At 32.8% G+C, this 18,231-nt stretch overlaps 1 long non-coding RNA gene across 2 annotated transcripts in view; it reads right to left on the reverse strand.

The window, feature by feature from the left end:
• LINC02476 (long intergenic non-protein coding RNA 2476) overlaps positions 1-18,231 on the reverse strand; it is a 287,946-nt gene that overhangs the window by 67,457 nt on the left and 202,258 nt on the right. Inside the window, exon 3 of one of the 2 annotated variants that reach the window (NR_131962.1) lies at positions 17,670-18,086. The exons of the other annotated variant lie outside the window; for it this stretch is intronic. This is a non-coding gene — a long non-coding RNA (long intergenic non-protein coding RNA 2476). Of the gene's footprint in view, positions 1-17,669; positions 18,087-18,231 lie in introns of those variants that run through there. 2 annotated transcript variants of the gene reach the window in all.

The following is an 18,231-nucleotide window of genomic DNA, read 5'->3' on the forward strand; positions in this document are numbered from 1 at the left end:
ATATGACCACATAAGTCATTAAATACACATCAACACAAATAGAACTTTCAACATGTTCTAAAGTCCTATCAATTATTTACTATATTTTTCATAATTTATTATTTTGGTTGAGCTTAAATATGTTAATCATCTTAGGAGTTTCATCTCAGGAGGTTCACAGTATTTGAATCCAAATTTTCAATGTAATTCTATGATTATCTACGCATTTCCACTGCATAAATTATCTAAGCATTTCCACTGCATAAAAATGGCATGGGGAAAAATAAAGTCTTCTAAATGCCCTCACATTTTCTCCATTTTTAGGAGTATGTACAGGTTTGAAAAAAGTTATCTATTCTGTTTCTGCCTATCCTCTATGGTTGATGTATAATAGTGTTGCAAAATTTGTATCAACAAAACACTCTTAAAATTTGTCCATTTATAAAATTCCAATTTGTGTATATCTTAACATTTTGAATCTAGAAGTATATTCTACTAATAAATGCCAGTGAAAATTAAATTCTAACTTGGAATCCACTTACAACCAAAACATCCAGATACAATGAGAGGGAAAAAGTCAGATTAAATCTCATCTAGAAGCTGCCAGCTATAAAAGTGTTTCCAAATAGGCTATTAAAGAAAGTGGTGGAGTCTCCAAGATGTCATGATTTCATGACTCCCAGGGAACATGATGGTGGCTGACCATGTTTTAGTTCAGCATTGGGAGCACTGAAAAATTAGCAGACAATCGGGCAAAGGGAAAATGCTGTGCAAGGTATTCATTTCTAAAAATGAATATTACTGGATTTTTACATGACTCCAGATAATCAGAAAATCTGGGCTTGAGATGATGAATTTCATGGCCACCTAGTAACAACCATTTGAAATCTTAGTCAAACAAATCCTCAGGGAATTTGAGTTGTGTTCCCTAGTTACAAAGAACATTATGCCAGTGAGCATTAAGTCCATATATACAACATGAAGATTGCATGGTGGAGAGGCTCAGAGGACAAGTAGGAATATGAAGAATCTTTTAATGTATAATTTTCATATAAAAACAAATGTGAATTCATTATGTAGAGGAAAGCAAAATTAACATGACTCTTTCTCATGTGAAAATCTGATTTGGAAGAAGATTCAAGGTATAGAGAAATGGAAATCAAACTTCAGATTCTACTCTTAGCCTTCTGCGACAAAATATATTCCTTTGCCTCTGCACATATTTTACCACAAATATCTGTAAGTCACTACTATAAAGTGTTCTAATATCAAGAGATCATGAATTTTCCCCAAAATTACTGAGGTTGAATATATGAGGTTCATTTCAATAACCGTGAAGAGTTCTTGGAATTTTAACTAACGTGTAAGCTAACAATTTAGCCTGTTGCAGGTTCATATATGTTGGCAGAAGATTCAAGACTCCTGGGACAGTCATAGAACTTTATTGCTCAGGACACAGCAGACAGCATGATCTTGAAGTTCATGCCAGCTTTGCTTGTCCCGTGAGTCCCACAGGGTGATGGAGAATGGACCAGGAGGATGCTGTCTTTGCTGCCTCATGACCTTTTCTGGACCACAAGCAAACATAGCTGAACTTTGTCCCAAAGAGAAACATCATTTTTATTACACTTAGGAGTAAATAAACCTGCCTTAATTCTGGAATAAAGCAAAATCTCCATCTCCTTTTCAATGATGTTTGTGTGCTATGAAAAAATCATTGAAAAGACAGTACAGAACAAAAGCCATGAGTGCCTCTGCTTATAACACACATGTAAAGGCGAGAGGCCCATTCTACTTTTCTCCACTGTCTTGATTTCTGGTGAATTGTCCCATGAGAATGTTGTTCTGCCAACCGTTCTGATTAATAAAAACGACAGACAGTCGGGAAAAAATAATCTCAGTTGTTTCATACAGCATTTAATTCAGACTATCAGCAGAATTCCAAATTTAAAATAAGGCTAATCTGTCATATTAACCTTGAAACTTCCCCCTAAGTTTCCAGATTCAACCAGGTGAAAAAAAAATCACAAACTACCTTGGCCCTCAAGAATGAATTATAGTGAAATTCTAGCACCCAAAACAATCTTGGCCACTGAGTTGAGCCTGACCTGAATGTCTTCCATGGCAGATGTGATATTTCTATAAACACTTAAAGATCTCTTACGACACCACATAATGTATGAGCTGTTATATTTTTGAAATAGGAGTGCATTAATGCCTGGTTTTCATATAAAGAAGTGCAAATTTGAGGACATACATGGTGACCCTAGAAAGAAATGTATTGGCTATACTTTATTGCCACCCTCTCCGAAAATGGGGGACATTTGCTGGTAAGCAGAAGTTGACAGTGCCTCCAATGTGGCCTCCTGGTCAGCTAATAGGTTTTAGGGATCCTAGTTCAGTTAAAATAATTGAGTGTAGTTGTTGTTAGAGAAATGTCCAAAGTCAGGCAGTCAAATCTCACCTACTTGTTTACACCAGCAGTCATGGGACATTCAACTTCCCTAGAGAAAGAGAGAGTAATGTCTCAGGAGCATGATAGAGAAGATATCTGAAGAAGTTGAATGGTGTCTTTTGTGAGAGGTGCTGAAGCTGGGGTCATACCTTACTGTTTCTAATAGAATTCTGAGTAATGTTGAGGGAAATGGCAGTAATATCATGATCAGAACTATGTTGCTGGAGTAGCAGACCCAAGAGTTATACTTAAGATACTTGCTAAAGTTTTCAAAAGGCTATAGCCTATCTTTAAATAGAAAATCTACATATATTCAACTACATATGTATATATGTTCAATTATAGTAGACACTGTTTATAATCCATCTAAAACTATGTGTTGTCACACTTGGAAGGTCCTATATATATAGGACACACACACACACACATATATAGGACATATATATATAGGACTATATACATATAGGACATATATATAGGACATATATATATACACACACACACATACATACACACATATATACACACACATACATACATATATATATACACACATATATATATGTGTGTGTGTGCTTATGTGTAGGCGTATAGAGATTGCTAGATTTTGTCATACTGACTGATTTTCTTTTTTTTTTTTTTTTTTAGACAGAGTCTCGCTGTGTCACCCAGGCTGGAGTGCAATAGCATGGTCTCGGCTCACTGCAACATCCGCCTCCCGGGTTCAAGCGATTCTCCTGCTTCAGCCTCTGGAGTAGCTGGGATTACAGGTGCCCGCCACCATGCCTGGCTAGTTTATGTATTTTTAGTAGAGACGGGATTTCACTATGTTGGCCAGGCTGGTCTCGAACTGCTGACCTCGTGATCTGCCTGCCTCGGCCTCCTAAAGTTCTGGGATTACAGGTGTGAGCCACCGTACCTGGCCATACTGATTCATTTTTTAAATAGTGTACAAAATCATTATTAAATTTAGGTCATGAAATTAAACTTTGACATTTATAAATATGTTTTATAGTACAGTATATGACTAATTTGGTACATATTGTTAAGTATTTTATGCTTGGTAAAGAAAAACGAGAGTTTCTATTCCAGTCAGATCAATTAATTACAAGCACAGTTTTGAATACTGAAACTAATCTATGTCATATTTTCATATTTATAATCAATTTTCAGTATGACAATATGTATTTTATGAGAAAAGCCACTAAAAAGTACTCTATTAGACACAGTATTTAATGGAAATCCCACAACCCCTGCCATTCACAGCACCTTCTTGTTTTGTCTTGGAATGGCTTCCTCAAAAATGAATTCAAAATGATTTCTGATCCAACCTTCCTCACTTTCTCTGTTCCACATATAGGTAAGAAACTCTTTTATTTGGGGGTATAAATTTTACATGAAAATGTTAAGTCAATTATCAAATTAATTGAAATTTTATATAATCTAATACTTATTATTTAATCTTTGCTTTACTCACCAATTATTCATAAAGATGTGTTCAAAACCACTTGTTTATCAATATTTAAAAAATAAAGATTATGAGGTGAATCTGAATAATCATTTTATTTTTCTACCATATTTATATAGACACAAACATGTATTATACTATTTTCCTTAAACTGTGCTTTTACTACAAAGTCGTCCATTTTATTTTTGTCTCTTAATTATGCTTTGTTTTCACAGCAACATCTAATTAAATTAAGACCTTGAAAACAAGTAAATTAATGAATTCCGTTTTAACAGCCTCGGCTTAATTGGAATTGGTTCTCATAATATTCAAATTTAATACATATATACACACATATGTACATATACATATATAATACATATACACTTATATAATGTATGTATACATCTTATACACATATATACATAAATACATAGATCATATATTTATATATTTCAATAAATATTAAATATATTTATATAAATAGTGTTTATGCACATTACATAAATATCTGTATAAATAGATATAGTGGGAGAAAGAGCACACACACACACAAATTATTACTAGTTTCAAAATCCACCTTATTATCTACTAGATATGTATGTTTAGAAAATTTGCCACATTAAGTGGTTATGAGAACTAAATATTTATAAAGTTTTGTTAGTAATGTTGTTTAAGTAGTGTCTGGTACATCATAAACATTATATAACTATATGTGATGAAAAAGATAAATAGACAAAGTTCTTTAATTCAATCTGTCAGTATAGTTCTAGGCTATATGCCAGATAAAAATATATTTTGCTTATACATTTTAAAAAATTTTTAAATACTCAGGGATATTTATAAATAAATATCTGCATATTTCATTTGTATGTTTACAAGCCTTCAAATAATATGCAGGATGATGCTTTACTTAATTCAGCTATTATTTTAATTGCTATTTTCCTTCCTAAATGTTGCATTAATCCTTTTTACTTTTATTTGAACATAATTGTATTTGTATCCCATCTGCCTTTTATTACCACTAGGAAACTGTTGGTAAACATCAATTTTATAGGTGGCTTCAGATTATTTTATGTTTTTAAATATTAGAAATACTCTGTTTATATAGTAAGCATGTTCTAGAAAATTATTGAAGAATCCAGTAACAGTATTGAATACCAATAGCCGATGAGTTACCATTAATGTTATTTCAGAGGTAGATATATCCCTTGACTACTATGATTTTATCTGTTTATTTCTCAATTTCCTATGAGCTATCTTATGATGAAAATCATGAAAAATTAACATATCAACATACCCAATGCCTATATATTTGATTAATAGAGTTTAATATCACAGATCTAAAGTCAAGACAGGGCAAGTAAATTGCAACAATACTGGTATTTAAAATTCATTAGTCTTGGCGCGCTACTGTAGTAACAATACTGGTATTTACTGTAGTGACAATACTGGTATTTACTGTAGTGACAATACTGGTATTTAAAATTCGTTGGTCTTGGCGAGCTACTGTAGTAATTGTCTTAAAATAACTACTTTCATCTAAGAAAATAAATGAATTAATACAGGAACAAATGTTAGAATAGATGCATGTAAAATTTGATTACAAATTTGGTGGCTGATAATAATAATTAATGATTTGTTCTTTCGTTAGAGTTAGAAACTCCATATGCAAGTGCTTTATTTTATCCCAATCCCTGTAATAGTCACTTACTTTAAAAAGAAAAAAGAATATGGCAGTTTATGTTTTATGTTGTCCTCAGAGAAAAGCCATGATCTAAATTATTAATTTATTTATTCTGCTATCAAGGAACAATTATTTTTTAGTTTCCCTCATTGCTTCAAACTTTAATGTATCTGTTCAGCTAAATAAATTACATATTAAACATTAAAAAAAAGCAACTCCAGACACTTGAAAGAGAAAAACTGTGATTTAAGCGTGTGTCTGGCACCTTCACATTTCTATAATATGATTCCTAAGACTGCTGTAATAAAATACCACAAACAGATTTGCCTAAAACAACAGAAACTTATTCTCTCACAGTTCTGAAGGCAGAGCGGTCCAAACTCAAGTATCAGTAAAGTCATTTTCCTTCTGAAGGCTCTAGTAAATAATCCTTCCTAGCTTTTAATCGTTGCTGGCAGTCATTTTCATTACTTGGTGTGCAGCAGAAGATTCTGCTTTTATTGTCACATGGCCTTCTCTCTATGTCTGCCTCTTAGCAAGCATCTAGATTGCTCCTCTTATAAGAAAATCATTCATTGGCTTAGGACCCACCCTAATCCAGTATGACCTCATTTTACATTGATTACACGTGCAAAAAACCTATTACCAGATAAAATTACATACACATCTTGGGAGTTGGGACTTCAACATATCTTTTGGGAGAAGTAACCTATAGCATTACTTCTTTTTTTTTTCCTTCTGTGGCATTTTCTGCACTTCTTTACTGCTAATTTTTTTCTTTCTCTGTCTTCTGTCTTTCCTATCAGATGTGTATTTTTCTCTTCAACTCTAAAAAATTATTTGAGCATTTGCTTTACAAATAGTGAGGTAAGCTGCATCATTCTCGTTTTTAAATATATGAAGCTATGTTGTAAAATCATGTTTTGTTTTAAACAAACAATTATTAAAATAATAACTTTTGTTTAAGATCATGCACATCAAGACTGTAACTCTGGCACCCAAAATATACAATGTAGCCCTCCACCATGGATGTGTCTTCCATGGTTTTGTAAATTCAGTTATAAATAACACATCACGTGTTACCTTTTTATATAACAATCAAAATGACCACAAGTTCTATTTAAGAATTATATTAGGCAAGGTTTTCCAGAGTACCAGTAGGAGATATAGAGATAGATACATTTATGTAGACATACAGGTATAGATATATACATCTATGTACCTCCCTATCCATAAAGAGAGAGATTATGAGAAATTGGCTCACATGACTTTGGAGGATGAGAAGTCCCACTATCTGATGTCTACAAACTGGAGAACCAAAAATTGAGTGGTGTAATTCAGTCATAGTCCAAAAGCCCAAGACCAGCGGGGCTGATGGTGTAAATTCCCATACAAAGGCAGAAGAAGCTTAAGAAGCAATGCTAAATGGAGTGAAAGATTTATTTCATCTCCTTCTGTTCTATTCAGGCCTTCAATAGATAGGATGATACTTACACACTCTGGAAGGACAATCTACTTTACTGCGTCCAGTGATTCAAATCTAATCTCATCCAGAAACGTTGTCACAGATTCATCCAGAAATAATGTTTAATCTGCTATCTGGGTGCAATGGTTTGAATGTGTCGCCTCCAAAATTCGTATTAAAAAGTAATCTCCATTGTAGTGGTATTAAGAGATGGAATTTTGGGGGAAGTAATTAAGTCATGAGCACTCTGCCCTCATGAATGAATTAGTGCCTTGTCAAAAAGGGCTAGAGGAAACTAGTTCAGGCCATTTTGCTTTTCTAAATCCACCATGTGAGGACACAGTGTTTGTTTCTTCCAGGCAATGTAGCAACAAGGTGCTACATTGAAATTACAGAACCCTCTACACTGAAAGTAGAGAACCCTCGCTGGACAATGAACTGGCTTGTACATTGATTTTGGATTTCTGAGCCTCCAAAAGGGTGAGAATTAAATACCTTTTTTTTTTTTTTTTTTTACAAATTACCCAGTCTCAGGTATTTTGTTACAGTGGCAGAAATTTTTTTTAAATTTTTTAATTTTAAAAATAAAAAATAGAGTAACATATTAATGTCATTATTAAAGTATATTTTTCAGAAAGTTAAAATAATTTACAGGTAAATATAAAATGAACATGTGTCAAAAATTGTATTTAAATCATTAGTTAATACAAGAATCCAGTGATTTTTTTTTTTAGCACTTTCATCCCACTGCTTTCAGGCCTTCATGGTTTCTGATGAGAAATTGGCTGTTAATCTTATTGAGAATCCTTTACACGAGATGAATTATTTATCTCTTGAAGCTGTTAAGAGTCTCTCTTTGTTTCTTTGTCTTTTTAAGTTTGACTATATGTCTAGATGTAGATCTGAGTAAGTTTTCCCTACATGGAACTTCTTAGATGATTTAGGTTTTTCATCAAATTTGTCAAGTTTTCTGCCATTAGTTATGCAAATATTTTCTACTCTTTTTTGTTTTAATCTCTGCTCTTTTGATATCCCATTGTATATTGTTAGTGTGCTTGCTGCTGTCCCAGAAGAGTCTGAAATTGTTTATTTTTCTTCATGCATTCCTTTTTTCTGTTACTCGGATGGAATGATCTCAGTTGATCTATCTTCAAGTTGATTAATTCTTTTTGCACCGGTTCAAATCTGCTGTGATTTTTAATTGAAATTATTTTGGTAATAATTTTATTTATTATATGTTTTAGCTACAAGAATATTATTCAATTCTTTTTAATAATTATTGTATTTTTATTTACATCCTCTGGTGAGAAATTGTTCTCATACATTTCTTTATTTCTTTAGATGTGGTTTGTTTCAGCTCCTTGTACATATTTAAATTGGTTGATTTAAGGCTTTTGTCTAGGAAGTCCAATATCTGGGCTTCTTCAAGTATAGTTTACATTGATTGTTTTTTGTTTCCTATGTGTTGACCTTTTTTTTCTGGGTCTTTGCATGCCTCATAATTATTTTGGTTATGAACTAGACATATTGCATATTATAATGTGATAAATTTGAAAATTATATCTCTCCTATCCCCATGATTTGTTGCTGTTACTAATTATTGTAGTTTATATTGTCTATTAATTTTTCCAAATAAATTCTAATCATTAGATGATTATTTCATTAAGTGCCTGAGACCAAAAAAAAAAAAAAATTCCAAACTTTACTAAGGGACTCTGTGAATGTGCTGGCTTTAACTTTCAACACCCAGGAGTTTAAAACGTTGTCTTAGTCTTCATTTACTAAGCCTCAAGGTCAACTACAGGTGAGAACTTACAAACTTCTCAGTTATTTATTGAGCATGTGCACAGCCATTGCTAGGTGTGTGGCCTTCTACAATCCCAGTAATACATCAGAACTTCTCAAAGACTTTTAGGATATCTTACTCCAGAACATTTGTTATGAGCTCAATGTTTGTGTCCCCTCAAAATTCATATGTTGAAGCCAGATCCCCAGTGTGGCAGCATTTGAGGATGGGCCCTCTAAGGAAGAGTAATTAAGGTTGAATGAGATATAAAATTGGGGCCTTGATTTGATAGGATGTGTGTTCTTAAAAGGAAAGACATTAGGGGCTTTTCTTCTCCATGCCCCCTGTACATGCACAGAGCAAAGACCAGGTGAAGACCCGGTGAGAAAACCGCTGTCTGCAAGGAAGGTGCAGAGCCCGCAGCAGAATCTGAACCTGATGGACCTTGATCTGATATTTTTTGCCTCTAGAACTCTGAGAAAACAAGTTTCTGTCACTTAAGGCACCCAGTTTTTGGTATTTTGTTATAGCATCTCAAGTAGACTACTATAGCACTTTTTCCCCCGAATTTTGATTAATGTTTTGTTTGCCCTCACTACTACCTGTCACCTCAGGCAGCTGTGACTAAAACATTTCCCTGTAAATGTTTTGGAAAAGGTCTCACGCACCCCATATACACACATAACAGCTTTCGGACAGGGCTAGTTCCAACAGTCCAGTAAAATAAACACTAGCCTTTTCAACAAGTGTCCCACAGAGTCATGAGATAGGAGAAAGCACATCATTAAAATTATTTTTTAATTACTTCCATTCTTCTCCCTCTGGTACTCCATATGCAGGCTGTTATTCACAACTACCACTGAACTGGGGATTAGGGGACAGAGCTATGTTAGTCAACATACTACAAACTTGCTTTTTTTTTTTAAGATTACCCGTTTTTCTTAAATAAGAGGTTCCTGTGTTGCTGCAATACTTTGCTTAATTTCAGAGTTTTGAAAAATTGACTTTGCTATTTTTGCCAATTTTTTCATTGCTTTTAAGGAGACTAGAATTTTGGAGTTTCTTTCTCTGCGTTTTTGCTGATGTCTTCCTTCAGGTGGTATATTTTAAAATGTTGTTAGAATACAACTTTTTATTCCCTTTAGGATGGTATTTACCTGCCTGTGTTGTGGTTTCTCTGCTATGGATTTTCCAGCAATCTAACCCCATTTACAGTATATAATTCAGAGATCACTTTAAAGATCTATCTGAAGTTGATAAAAGTATATTTTAGGATGGATTTATAGTATCATTTTCTTTTAAAAAATATATATAAATGTGTGTGTTTGAGAAAGAAGAAAGTGATATACATGCTTCATCTACCATCTTTATCTGATTTTTAATTTTTTTAGATTATGTTCATGTTATGGTTTAAATTTTTCATACCAGAATTTCTCATTTTATAGTCAAGCAATTAAAAGATTAGGAAGGTAAGAAATAATTACAGAAACTTGATGTCTCAGTATTTAGTAAAAGATGGGCACAGTGGCTCATGACTGTAATCCCAAAATTTTGGGAGGCTGAGGGGGGCAGATCACTTGAGCCCAGGAGTTTGTGACCAGGCTGAGAAAAAAAGTGAGACCACAGTTTTACCAAAAAATAAAATAAAATTAGATGGGTGTGGTGGCATAGGTCTGTGGACCCATCTCCATGTGAGGCTGAGACTTAGGATCCCATGACCCTAGAAAGTGGAGACTGTAGGGAGCCAACATCCCGCCACTGCACTCCAGCCTAGGTGATAGACCAAGACCTTGTCTCAAAAAAAAATAAAATAAAATAAAAAAAGAGAGAGAGAGAGACATGAAAAGAATTCAATAAGGGTTTATTGCCTTATTGGAGTGAATTTCAGGATGGAATGAAAGGAGCTAAAGGGAAGGGAAATTTGGAAAATAGAGACTAATGAAATAATGAAGTCCCAATAACAAAGGGCAAAGTAATATAGTTATATAGATCACGTAAGACAAGGTAGTCTCAAACACAGGAAGTGGTCACACTTCTCCTGTAATAGAATGGAAGGATAAACAATGGATCAAAAGTCATCTATACTTGTAGTTTTCATAAAAATAACTTTTGAGAGTTTCACCCTACTGTTTTCTCTGTGATGTAGGAAGTGTCATCTGCTAAGAACAAACAAGTGAAAAAAATGAAACAATTCTATCTAATGAACTGGAGCATTGGTAAATCAAGGACACTGATGATGTTGGAGTTGGAAATTTAAGTGATACGGGTGTTGAATTTTTCATTTAGCACTTCAGGCTCTAGGTGTAAGTGAAGAGAAGGGTGAGTTCTGGATTAACTCAAGCTTGGTCCTGTACCAAGAATACGTGATGACAAAATAAGGTAAAAAGTTGAATAAACTGGCAGGAGTTTCTTGGGCTCAGGGTAGGGGAGACTCTACTTTAGATAAGTGGAAGTAAATGTAGTGACATAAAGGGAGAAAATAGCAGTGGTCTGAAGACTAGAGTTCCAAGATATTGATGAATGTTGAAGAATAGGTGTAGAAAGAGTAACAAAGTGAGTGAAATGGAAGAATACTATGTGTTCTAAAAATGAGATGTTTGAATCTGTGTATTAGAAGATAAGTATTTGCAGGTAATTTCAAGGTCTACAGTGTTGTCATAGGTATTGGTGGCCAAATGAGTATGTGAGTATAATCACTGAAGATAAAAATGTAAAGTCACCAAAAGGCAATAGTGACCAATAGGACATTATCAGGTAGATTTTTGTATTTATGTATCCATGATAATGGACTGAATTTCATCTAAGTGCCAAATCATCAAGAAACTTGAAAGATTAACAGGGTCCCTCAGTTAAACAGTCATGAGAAAAACTAGTTTGCTCAGATTGAGTTTAAGATGGATTAGAAAGCAAAATAAGCAGGATATTTGTACAAGTTTAGAGGAAGCGTAAAAGCTCAAAGTAGCCCTGATATCAGAAATGTGTAAGACGGAAAATAAGAGTATAATCCGAATATGATATGCCAATTGAAGTATAAGATATTGGAGCTGAAAAGAAATTTTTATATCATTTTAATGCCTTCCTTAAAGCTAGTGAACAAATGATTAAACCATTTGTATATGTATTTTTGCCTGCATACATTTGAGGGGTAAAATGTTACTAGCTCACAATGACATCATAGTGTGTTATTTCTCATAAAAATGTACGGGGCATCTTTTAAACGATGAAACATATGTTAGCACAGCTGCCTCTAAGATTAAACAAAATACAATATATCATTTTATACCTGTGAATGCAGACAAATATAAAAAATGATGATGATTAAGATGTATTATGCCTATTTTCTTTGAAAAGTAAAATGCCTTAATATGAAGTTGGAGTGGAATATTAAAAGAAACTTAAATTTTAAAGCATCCAACAATATTCACCTCCAAAACAGTATCCTGTTAAAATATTAGTTCAAATTATCTTTAAAGTGTTTAATTAAACAGAAAGGGAATATACATACCTGTGTAACTCTTAAGGTGTTAGTATTTTCTTTCGCTTACTTAAACATATACTTTGTGAAAAATGACCAATAGGAAAAAAGAACAAAACAATAATTAATTTTATATTGTGTGTGTGTGTGTGTGTGTGTGTGTGTGTGTGTGTGTGTAACTTAAAGTCTCACTTGGATTGAAGTTTAAAGCTTAGGCTTGAAAAGTAACTTTTCATCAAGGTTATAAGATACATTAACATGTAGTGAAAATTACCAAAAGGCATTTTGTTATACACTGCCTATTTTTCCCACGGAAAAAAAATACAAAGACCTTGTGTGGATTCCAAAAGACATGAATTTTCTTACCAGAGAAATTTAATGCAATGAGATGATATTATTTCAACTTAAATGCAAATAATAACCACAGAGAAAGCCACAGGATTTTTTAGTGTTGATATATACACTTTAATTCAGAATGTCAAAGAACATCAACAATATTTTCATATAATTTAGGTAGACAGTTAAATATAATAATTTTGGATCAAAAATATATTAAAAATAAAAATTAAAATATAAACTGTAGAAAAAGATATACACAGAGATACAAAAGAAAATAAACGTGAAAAAGAACAAAAGGAGAGGAGAAAGGAAAAACAAAATTACATGAACCATCCAATTGGTAATTTGGTTATTAAGAAGCCAGAAATTGCTTTGTGAGGGCATACAAATTGTGACACCTGATACTCCTGCAGGCAAAGAGGGTTGGGAGATTGCCATCATGTATTGAAAACTATTCCTTTCTCCCCAAGGAATTACAGTGGCACCTTTGTCATAAATTAAATAATCTAATATATGTCAATGTATTTCTGGACTACTCTTCTGTTCCATAACCTATCTGTTCCAACAAATACAAAGATTTGTCCATGCTTGTACCAATAACAGACAATTAGTTACTGTTACTATAGAATAGGTATTCAAATTTGGTAAGATCCTCCAAAGTTATTATTCTTAAGAAAATTTTGACTATGACTTGTCTTTGCAGTTCCATATATAGTTTTGATTTAGCATGTTAATTTACACACACATGAACACATACATACAAATGCACGAAAACTTCTGAGAGTTTCATCGGGATTGCCTGGAATCTATGGATCACTTTGGAAGATTTTACATTAAAATATTGAGTTTTCTGGTACATTAAAATGTCAGCAATGTTTTGTAGTTCTGAATGTCTTGTCAACCTTTCATTAGATTAATTCCTAGAATTTCAGGATCTCAGAGCTGATAACCTTTCAAAAACTACTCCTCTCTTCTAGTTATATGTATATATATGCATATATATGTATCCTTTTGGATTTTCTATGTATCCAACCATGTAACCTTTAAATGGAGTAGGTGTTACTTCATTTTTTCCTATATTCACACTCTGTGTGATGATAGATTTATATATCTATTTATTATATATCATATATAACATTATTCATTATTAAATATTGTGATTTAATTGAGGTTATATCATGTATTTAGGTCAATTCATCTAAAATTTCAAATAATCTCAAAGTTGTTTATAATATCTATTTAATACTCTTTTTTTGTCTGTAAGGTCTGTTGTAAAGTCTATTTTTTTCATTCTTAATGTTGGTACTCCGTTTCTTTTTTATTTTTCTCAATAAATTTTGCTAATAATTCATCAATTTTACAAACAGTAAAAATGTAATCCCTTTCATGGAACCTACTTTTGATTTTGATTTCCTCTACCGTATGTTTGTTTTATTTTAAATCTGTCATAAATGTATGTTTATATATTTACTTCTGTTTTATAACCAAGTTTAAAATCCCATCATGATTAAGTATCTTTTTTTACACATTGTTATATTTGATTTGCTAAAGTTTTGCCAAGAATTTTTGCATACCTGTGCATGAGAAGTATTGCTCTCTGTTTATCTTTTCTGATGACTTCTTACTGGTGTTGGTATCAACATGAGGCTATTCTTACAAAATGAGTTGGGAAATGTTCTCTTCTCGTCTATTTTCTTAAAGAGCATATGTAGGTTTGATATTAATAGTTTTTAAATAATATGATTCAAAAGAAGCATCTCATCTTTGAGTCTCTTTTTAAAAATATTTTAATTCTGATTTTTCTTTTTTACTGATATTGCACTGTTCAGATTTTCTGTTTCTTCTTGTGCCAGTTGTGGTGACTTACGCCTTTCAAGAATGTGTCCATTTCATCTGATACCAGTTTGTCAAGGGCTGCCGTAACCATGTATCCCAAGTTGAATAGTTTAGATAACGGAAATGTATTGCCTTACAGTTCTGGGGCCTACAAGTCTAAAATCAAGATGCTGGCAGTGATGGTTCCTTCTGAGGGTTGTATGAAAATGATCTTTTCCAAGGCTCTCTCTTTGGTTTATAGATGACCACAGCTTGTACTTGAACTTCTCCCTGCATCTTTCCATCATCCTTCCTTCATATGTGTCTCCCTTCACATGAGCTTCCTTTTACAAGGACACAAGTCATATTGGAATAAGGACCCACCATATTCCAGAAGAGCTTCATGTTAAGTAATTATATATACAATGACCCTATTTTCAAATAAGTTGACATTTTCAGGTACCAAATGTTAGGACATCGACATGAAGTTTGGCAGACACAATTTAACCCATGGCATCATCCAAACTTTTATTTATTGATATAAAAGTATTCATAATATTATCTTATTATACTAATGTCTGCAGGATCTGTAGAGATGCCCCCTCTTTTGTCTCTGAAATGTGTAATTTGTGTCTTTTTCCTCTCTTCCTCTTTTTCCCCCTTCCTCAGTTTAGCTAGATTTTGAAATTTGAGTTTTGTTTATTCATAGCCACTCTTAAAATCACTTAAAAACCTCTTTGTTAATTTCCACATGGCAGAATATATTTTTTAAGAATGAGAAAATAAATGTTTATAAATGAATCAATTTCTTTGTTACTCAAATATTTTTGCTGAGAGAATTGTGCTGAGCATATCCTCTTCCAAGGGCTGATGAAAGTTCCCTTAAGCAATTTAAATAATTTGTTTGTTTAATCTAAAGACATTAACAATGCCTTAAAAGTAAAAAAAAATAAATAAATAAACCGTCTGTTTCAATCAGTTTGGACTGGTATAACAAAGGTACCATAATCTGGGTGGCTTATAAACAAGATACATTTATTCCTGGAAGTACTGGAGGCTGGAAGTCTGAGATGAGTTGCCAGTATGGTCAGGTTCTGGTAAGTGTCTTCCTCTGGGTTACAGACAGCTATCTTCCTGAATCTTCACATGGCAGAAAGAGGGCAAGCTAGAGCTCTGGCTTGCTTTTTGTTTGTTTTTATTTTTATTTTTTTTTTACAGATAGAGTCTCCCAGTGTTGGCTAGGCTGGTCTCAAACTCCTGGACTCAAGTGATCTTCCTCCCTCCTTTTTAAAGAGAAAGTAATCCCATCCATAAGGACTCCACCCTCATTACCTAATTACCTCTCAAAGGCCTCACCTCCAAATACCATCTATTGGGATTAGATTTCAACATATGAAATGTATGAAGACATAAATTTCAGTCCACAAAAATCTCAGGTGCAAATATAATTTCTATGTGCAATGACTGAATGTGTGGTTAAATAGAATATTTTAAAAATATAAATTTTTAACGAAGATATTTTAAATAGTTTACTCATCATATAGTAGCCTGATTTCAAAGGGACTTTTCTCTCAAACTCATATTGTATGAGTACACATAAGATGCTCCTGATGTGGGCCTTCTTGGATACGTGTTTGAGTCTATCATATTCCTCAGGCTTGTAATTCACACCATTTACAGTTATACAATTTAGAAATCACTTAGATTTTCAGTTTCTTTTGATATTCTGAGTTTAAGTGCACTAAAATGAAAACTGACAAAAATTTCATGAAGGCTTGTCAAAAGTGTTTTACTTGATTTCAATCAAGTTAATATTTTCTATTTATAAATGAATTAGTGTAAATACACACTGAATTAGATTAAATTTAGAAATACGCTACTGAATCTAAGTACAGAAAGTTAGACTACATTTCTAAAAATACTAAAGTTAACTGGTTATTAACCATAATTTATTCTCAGTTTTATAGCTTTTAGATATTCATTTATATACAACAAAATAATGAGACATTTTAAAACTAATGAAATTGTGTTAATATTTTCTGAGCTTTATCATGATTAGATGTGGGTTACAGGATTTGAGGGAGGTTCACATAGGTAAGCTGCTATTTTCACCACATTCTAATAAGGATGCATACTACTGTCTGTGTCATTGGGGACTATGAATGTTGAGCTAGCTCACATGGCTGAAGTGATTTTTGTCAAGTTTCTCCAGAGTGATGTTGCACATTTTTTTCTCCCTTTTGCAAACTGTACTTTTAGGAAGAAGTCACAATACACAGCCCACATTCAAAATGTGAGGAAATATGCTTTCTCTATTTTAAAATAAAAGATCTACACAATTTCTTGGAAACTCTTCTGTATGAGAGATTTATCTCTGCTCCCTTAATTTATTAAAATTAATGTGGACTCATAAGTATTTCCTTAAAATTTTGTATTATAATTATATCATGCCAAATAGATAATCATGTCATCTTTGAACATGGTTTTATTTCTTCCTTGCTAATCCGTATTCCTTTATTTCCTTACTATACTAGGTAGAAGTTCCAGTAGAATGTTAAAAAGAAACAGTGGGAGGAAATATTATTGCCTTATTCACAGTCTTAAGGAAAGCAACCAATTTCTAACTATTAAGTATAAAAGTCTGCAGGATTTTTTACAGATTTCCTTAGTTATGTCAAGAATCTTTCCTTCTATTCCTAATTTTGCTGAGTTTTTATCATGAAGGGCTAATGGATGTTGTTAAATTTTTTGTTTCCATCAATTAAGATGATCATATGATTTTTCTTCTTTAGCCTATTGATGTGACAGACTAATTGGTTTTTGAATGTTGAAACAGACTTGCATACTTGGGAATAATTCTCCTAGGTCTTGGTATATAATTCTTTTAATATATAGTTCGCTTAAATTTGCTAATATTTTATTGAAGATTTTTGTATATATGTTTATGAAAGATAATGGTTTCTAATTTTTCTTTCAGTGTTTTTATCTAATATTTATATTAGGGTAATGGTGACATAATAGAATTAGTTAGGAAGTATTCTAAAATTACTATATTTGTAATGGTTTTGTATTCATTTCTACATTTTTTCCTTTTTGTACCTTCTCATATTCTTCATTATATATTTAAATTGAATATTTTATGATTCCATTTTCTCTCCACTCTTAGTATATCAATTATATTTTTTACATATTTTAGTTGTTAATTTAAAGTTTACTATATACACTTAAAACGAATCTATGTCCACTGTCAAACAACACTGTACTGCTTCCTAGGTAGGACAGGGACTTTATGAGAGAATATTCTCAATTCCTGCCTCTCACTACTTACAATGTTGTTTTTATTCCATAAGCTATAGTCACATAATACACTGTCGTGTACAACATTTCTTATAAGGCAGTTCTGCTGAAAATAAACTGTTTGTTTTTGTTTGCCAGGGAAAGTCTGTATTAGTCTGCTTTGGCTGCCATACAAAATATCATTGACTGAGTGGCTTAATAATAGGAATCAACTTCTCAAAGTTATGGAGGCTGGAAGTCAAATATCAAGGTGGTAGCAAAGTCACTGTCTGCTTGGAGTTCCCCTTTTGGTTTGCAGATGGCTCCCTTCTCACCGTGTCCTCACATGGCCTTTCCTAGTCCTGTTTAGGAGGAGGCAGAAAGACAGAAAGAAACAGGTTGAAGCTAAGCTTTCTGTTATCTCTTCTTATGAGAGCACTGATTTTCTAATGAAGTCCCTACCCTCATGAACTCATCTCAACCTAATTACATCCTAGTAGCCCCATG

Source organism: Homo sapiens, chromosome 7 (genome assembly GCF_000001405.40).
Source record: "Homo sapiens chromosome 7, GRCh38.p14 Primary Assembly".
NCBI lineage: Eukaryota > Metazoa > Chordata > Mammalia > Primates > Hominidae > Homo > Homo sapiens.